General features: G+C 37.3%; 1 protein-coding gene and 1 pseudogene across 1 annotated transcript in view; one reads left to right on the top strand and one right to left on the bottom strand.

The window, feature by feature from the left end:
- Positions 577–6,717, bottom strand: part of CEP63 (centrosomal protein 63) — a 296,836-nt gene continuing 290,695 nt past the window's right edge. Inside the window, exon 14 of the transcript XR_007095731.1 lies at positions 577–3,398. The gene's annotated coding sequence lies outside the window, so the exon portion shown is untranslated. The remainder of the gene's footprint in view (positions 3,399–6,717) is intronic.
- On the top strand, positions 2,509–2,609 carry RNU6-1174P (RNA, U6 small nuclear 1174, pseudogene; annotated as a pseudogene).

Here is a 6,717-nt window from a genome sequence, read left to right as displayed (position 1 = left end):
TCAGGCAGATGAAAATTGGTAAGTAAATGGAAGTAAGCAACAACTTAATTTAATTTAGTGGATGTATAGAGCCCTATCCAATCACGAGCAATTATACATTCTTCTCCAGTATATGTGGAACAATTGCAAAACCTGATGACTTACCACCAAACAGCAAGGCTCAATAAAGACTAAATAATTTGTCACACAGATCATATTCTCTGACCTCAACACAATTTAATCAGAAATCAATAACCAAAGAAACTTTGAAAAACGCATTTAAATAAACTTTAAATAAGGACTCATAAGGGGTACTGAAAAATATTTAAAATTTAATGATAATTATAACACTACCATTCAAAACCTTGGCATGCAGCTAAAGTGGTATCTACAGGAAATTTATACCTTACCTTGGAACATTAGAAAGAATATTAGAATAGAAGAAAATTGATAAGATAAATATGTAAACACAGAAATGAAAAATAAAGAAATTATCAACAAGGCTCCCACATCTCAAAGCTTACTCACTGAAAAAAATAAACTAATAAAATACAAAAAAACTTCTGCCAAGACTGTGCTAGTTTGCAAGAGGTGGGGTGGAGTGTATAATGGGACAAAACAAAATTAAATAATGTTATGGATGGAAAAGAGGGCATACGGATAGAGTAAAACTTTAAAACAGTAGAAAATACTGTGAACCATTTGAATGAAATAGCAATTTTTCTTGAGAACAAAATACAATATATCAAACCTGATTCACAATAAAAAATAGAATATTTGAGTAGACTGATTTTCACAAAAGAATTTGAATCAGTAATTAAAAATCTACCCACCAAAAAAAGAAACAACATTAAGTCTAAACGGTTTTGTTAGTGGGTTCTAATCCAAACACTCAAGGATGTATTTCCTGAATGATGTTAGGAAGCTGACATAATCCTTGTCCCAGGATTGAAAAAGTTGTCTAATTTTAGAGAAATCTATTGTCCCATTTACTGATTAAAGGACAAAACATATATATGATCATCTCAATAGGCACAGACAGAATATTTGATTAAAACTCAGAACATTTTCACAACTTAAAAATATTTAATAAAATAATAGAAAGGGACTTGAGACATGGTTTCTATCCAAACCCCAGAGAAAACATTACATTTCATGGCAAAACATCGGACGCATTCTCTTTAAAGTGGGGAAGAAGAAAGGATGCCTACTCTCCTTGTTTCCAGTCAGCATTTCACTGCTGGTTTGAGCTAGCGCTGTAAGACATAAAAGAGAGATGAAAAATATAAGGAGAGGACAGAAAGAAAGAAAGCTACATTAGGCCACAGACAGCAAGATTTTGTAGAAAACCCAAGAGACTGTACAGGGAAATCATTAGACCAAACAAAAATCATGAGCAAGTTTGCTAGTTACAAAGTCAATATATAAAAATCTGTTGCTTTCTTAAACATCAGCAACAAATAAGAATAAGTAATTTTTTAACAATGCAGCATTTTTTCTCCTACTACTTTTACTTTAGGTTCCAGGAGTACATGTACAGGTTTGTTACGTGGGTAAATGAGGCTTGGTGTACAAATGATCCATCACCCAGGTAGTGAGCGTAGTACCCTGATGGGTAGGCTTGCAGCCCACCACCCTCTCCCGCCTTCCTCACTGAAGCCGTCCCCAGTGTCTGTTGTTCCCACCTTTGTGTCCACATGAATAATACAGCATTTTAATGGCAATAAAAACTCTAATATATCTTGGAACAAATCTTAAGAAAGTTTGTAAAGGCCTTATGAAAAAATAAAAATTTATTAAACAACATTTAAATAACTGGAGAGATATACTGTGTTTATGGGTGAGAAATCTCATGGCTATTATCCCCAATTTTTCCTATAGATGCAATACAAATACAAAAAAAATCTATAATTTTTTTGAAGAATTTGACAATTTGACCCTGAAGTTCAAAAGCAGAGGCAAGAATAACGAAGACAATTTTGAAGACAAACAGAATGGAAGGCTTTGCCTTATCAGCTATCAAAACTTATTATAAAGCTACCATAATTAAAACAATATGGAATTGATATAGAGATTTAGGATCAATGTATATATGAAAACTCCATGTCAAGGGAAGTATTACAAAATGGTGAGAAAGAATAAACTATTCAATAAGCGTTGCCAAGACAATCTGAAAAATAAAATTTGATTCCTTTCTCACACAAATATCAATTCCAGGTGGACTGAAAACCAATATTAAAAGGAAGACTTCATAATATTTTTAAATATAACATAGGAGAATAGCTAAATGCAGTGGGCTGTAAGGAGGAGAATGTCATAAACAGGACACAAAAAGCACAAACTACAAAGGAAAATACAGATACACTTGATTAATAAAATGAAAACTTTGATGTAAAAAGACACCATAAACATAGTTAAGCCATACACTGAGAGAAACTATCTGCAACTTAATTTAAAAAGTATTAGTATCTAGAATATATAAAGAATTTCTATAAATCAATATGAAATAAATGTGTCAAAAGCACCCAAGTGCTCGCGTTGATAGCACATTACTAAAATTGGAATGATACAGATTAGCACGGCTCCTCTGCAAAGGTAACATGCAAATTTGTGAAGCACTCCATATTTTTATACCACATACAAAAGGACAAAGGCTGTATGTCTCCACTTACATGAAATATCTAGAGTAGGTGAATGCACAGAGATAGCAAATAGATTAGTGGTTACCAGGGGATGGGGGAAGAGGAATCGGGAGTTATTGCTTAATGAGTACAGAGTTTCTGTTTGGAATGATAAAAGGGCTTTGGAAATAAATACTGGTGATGATTGCATAGCATTGTGAATTATACAGTTAAAATGGCTGAAATGAAAATTTTATATTATATATTTCGACTACAAAAAAGCATCCAGTGTTAAAAAGGGGGCAAAAGATTCAAACAGACATTTCAGATACAAGTAACTATGAATAAGCTAACAATATCTGAAAAAATGTACAACCTCATTTGATAATGAAAACAATACTGAGATAATGCTTCTCACCCACTGATAGGTAAACATAATAAAGTCAGACAATAGCTAGGGTTCGTAGAATACAGAGCAACAAGAGCTGTCATAAAATGCCGGTAGGAGTGTAAATTGCTTCAAAGGTTTTGGATAGGAGTATGGCATCACTCAGTGAAGTTTAACATGTGCTTCTTTATGTATTAATTAGAGTAAGTACAGGCTGACATAATAAAGATACTAACAATAAATGGCTTAAAGGTAAAGAAGTTTACCTTATCTCTCTCACTTATCAGTTCCAAAGTTTACAGCCTGGTCAGTGGGACAACTTTGATCCTCACGGTCCTTCAGGTAATCAGTTCTTTCCAAGTCAGTTTCTGCAAAATTGAAGTTGGCTCACCACCACATTTTGGTTTTGTCTGGTGGGAAAAGAGAAGAACACATGGAGGAGGTACACCCACCACCTTAAGGCTCTGATCCTGACATAGCAGAATAGAAAGCTGCTTAAATTCCACTAGTGAGGACTTAGTCACATAGCCATATCCAACTAAAAGGGAGGCTGGGAAATGCAGTCTAGATGAACATCCATGTGTAAGATGGGGAAAATGATTTTGGGTGGATAAAATTCATTTTGTCACTCTCCACTATACCTAGAACTCAGCAATTTCACGGCTGGGAATACCTTAGCAATGCCCTTGCACATGTATGCCAGGAGACAGACATAAGAAAGCTTATAGGCTCACAATCCATAATAGGAAAAAACAGGAAATAAACCAAATGCCCATCATTGTAAAATAGAAAAATAAATCATGGTGTATTCTTATACAGGAGCAAAAATGAGTGAATTATTGCTGCACAATTGGAAAGTATCACATGAGATACTTCTAAGACAATATTCAGCTGAGCAGTAGGGACTTGGGTGCCTGTTTTATTATTAATATTTGAATTGTGTATTCATATATATGTACACTATATTTATTATTTTGCATATATTTACCATAGAAAAATTACATTACCAGCATAAAATAGATAAAATTTTTCACACAACAGGCTGGTAAAAGCAAATGTTCACTAATATTAAATGTAGACAAAGATATGGATAGCAAAAGTATGAATTGTAGTAGAATAAATTTTTACTGTATAGGGCATTTTGGAAGTTATCTTCAAAAGCTTAAACTGGGCACTTCTATAAATTACAATTTCGCTGCTCAGCACCAACTTAGAGTAACAACCATGGAGCCACATAAGAAGACAGTGTGCAAAGGTGTTCAGTCTAGCAAATCTTAAAACAGCAAAAATGGCCGCGCGGTGGCTCACGCCTGTAATCCCAGCACTTTGGGAGGCCAAGGCAGGCGAATCACGAGGTTAGGAGATCAAGACCATCCTGGCTAACATGGTGAAACCCTGTCTCTACTAAAAAATACAAAAAAATTAGCCGGGCATGGTGGTGGGCACCTGTAGGCCCAGCTACTTGGGAGGCTGAGGCAGGAGAATGGCGTGAACCCGGGAGGCAGAGCTTGCAGTGAGCAGAGATTGCGCCACTGCACTCCAGCCTGGGTGACAGAGCGAGACTCTGTCTCAAAAAAACAAAACAGAAAACAAACAAACAAACAAACAAAACAGCAAAAACATTGAGAATAACCTAGATGCTACTTAAGCCATTGACTAACTAAACTTTAGTCATTGTCATTAAGGCAATGACTAAACTATGATTCAGCCATACTATCAAATATCATGAAACAGTCAAAAAGAGTGATGTGGGCCAGGTGTGGTGGCTGATGCCTATAATTCAAGCACTTTGGGAGGGCGAGGTGGGCAGATCACCTGAGGTCAGGAGTTGGAGACCAGCCTGGCCAACATGGTGAAACCCCGTCTCTACTAAAAATACAAAAATAGTGGGGTGTGGTGGTGCACGTCTGTAATCCTAGCTACTTGGGAAGCTGAGGCAGGGGAATTGCTTGAACCCAGGAGACAGAGGTTGCAGTGAGCTGAGATCACATCACTGCACTCCAGCCTGGATGACAAGAGGGAAACTCCGTCTCAAAAAAAAAAAAAAAAAGTGACGTGGAACTATTTGTGCTTAACATAAGTGGATCTTCAATACAGCATTCTGTGAAAAGGCAACTTGCAGAACAAATGAGAGAAGACTGTGTAATAGTTCCTATAGTGGTTGGTGTGTGTGTGTGTGTTATTTATTCTGAATTTCCTCCAGAAAAATAATTTGTTGTTTTTAAAAGCCTAAAGCCGGGCGCGGTGGCTCACATCTGTAATCCCAGCACTTTGGGAGACCGAGGTGGGCAGATCACAAGGTCAAGAGTTCGAGACCAGCCTGGCCAGCATGGTGAAACCCCCATCTCTACTAAAAAAATTCAAAAAATAGCCCGGCATAGTGGCGTGTACCTGTAATCCCAGCTACTCGAGAGGCTGAGGCAGGAGAATTGCTTGAACCTGAGAGGCGGAGGTTGCAGCGAGCCAAGACCACTGCACTCCAGCCTGAGCAACAGAGCAAAACTCCATCTAAAAAAAAAAAAAAAAAAAAAAAAAAAAATTCTATTCTTTCAAAGGTTGAAGTCTACCGAAAGTGAAAGTTAGAAACCACAATACTCACCATTTCCATGTATTGTTATTGAGCAAATTCTCGAGTTTTAAATTATTTTAAGTGAGTTAATTAGACAAGTCCAGTAATTGATGAAGACCCCTCTGAAAAATGAGGTGAGTATATATTTTGCTCAAAAGTCAGGTAATAGGCATTTGAGAGTGAAAAAAAAGATCATTTTCTTTATGGAGCACTATGTGTGGCTGATCAAGGAGAAGAAATAAGGCCAATTTATCCTGCTTTTCACAAAGAGTCTAAAGTATGAAATACTAATTATTAAAACAAGAAATATAGTCCAGATCAAAACACTGTTAGGTGATCACACAACTAATTGGAGAGTGAGAACCAAAGGGGCCTTTATTAATGGTAAAATCCAGAAGTGCTTTTCAAAGAGGTCAATACAAAACATGTGCCTTTTTTAACACCTTCACTGAGGACTCAATAATGCAATAGAAAGCATGCTGGTTAAATGTGTGTTTGTCACTTCTTTCCTTTTGAAATCTTCCTTTTAAAAAATTAGAATTAAGAATGGTTGGCTTTCCTAATGTTTAATAGACAAGCCACAGAACAGCAATATTTGCTTTAATCTGGCCTCACATGAATGAGGCAGTCCTGGATCCCCAAAAAGCACCAGCCTCAGCCTAACAGTTTGTCCATCTCTCCCAACCCCTGCTAGTATCTTGGGATGGTTTCAAAAGTGTTAAAAACACTGGTCTGAAAGTTCCTCTAGCACCTCAAGTAAGTGTCATATCTTCACCACCTCTTGACTGCCACCAGCATCAGAAACTGCCTGGCTCCCATGACCTCCAACTCTGGAGAATACCCATTGGACAGGACCTCCAGGCCTCCAGCACCCCTACCCATCACTACACCTCAGCCTCATCATGACTTCAGGCTCAGCCAGCTGCCCCAAACCAAGAAGAGCGTGTACTCCTGGCTTCACATGATTTCTAGTCCAGCCTAGACCCTGTGGGTAGGCCATGTCAACAAAGCAAAATTACTACCAGAGACTAGAACCCCTCTCTGTTCACACACACAATGCAGCAGCCATTAGCCCCATGTGCCTATTAGGCACTTGATATGTAGCGGGTCCAAATTGAAATGTACTATCAGTGTAATATACACCAGATCCCAAGGACTTA

The sequence above is a fragment of the Homo sapiens genome, chromosome 3, assembly GCF_000001405.40.
Source record: "Homo sapiens chromosome 3, GRCh38.p14 Primary Assembly".
NCBI classification, from domain to species: domain Eukaryota; kingdom Metazoa; phylum Chordata; class Mammalia; order Primates; family Hominidae; genus Homo; species Homo sapiens.
The sequence above is the reverse complement of the archived record's forward strand: the minus strand, read 5'-3'. Positions and strand labels throughout refer to the sequence as shown.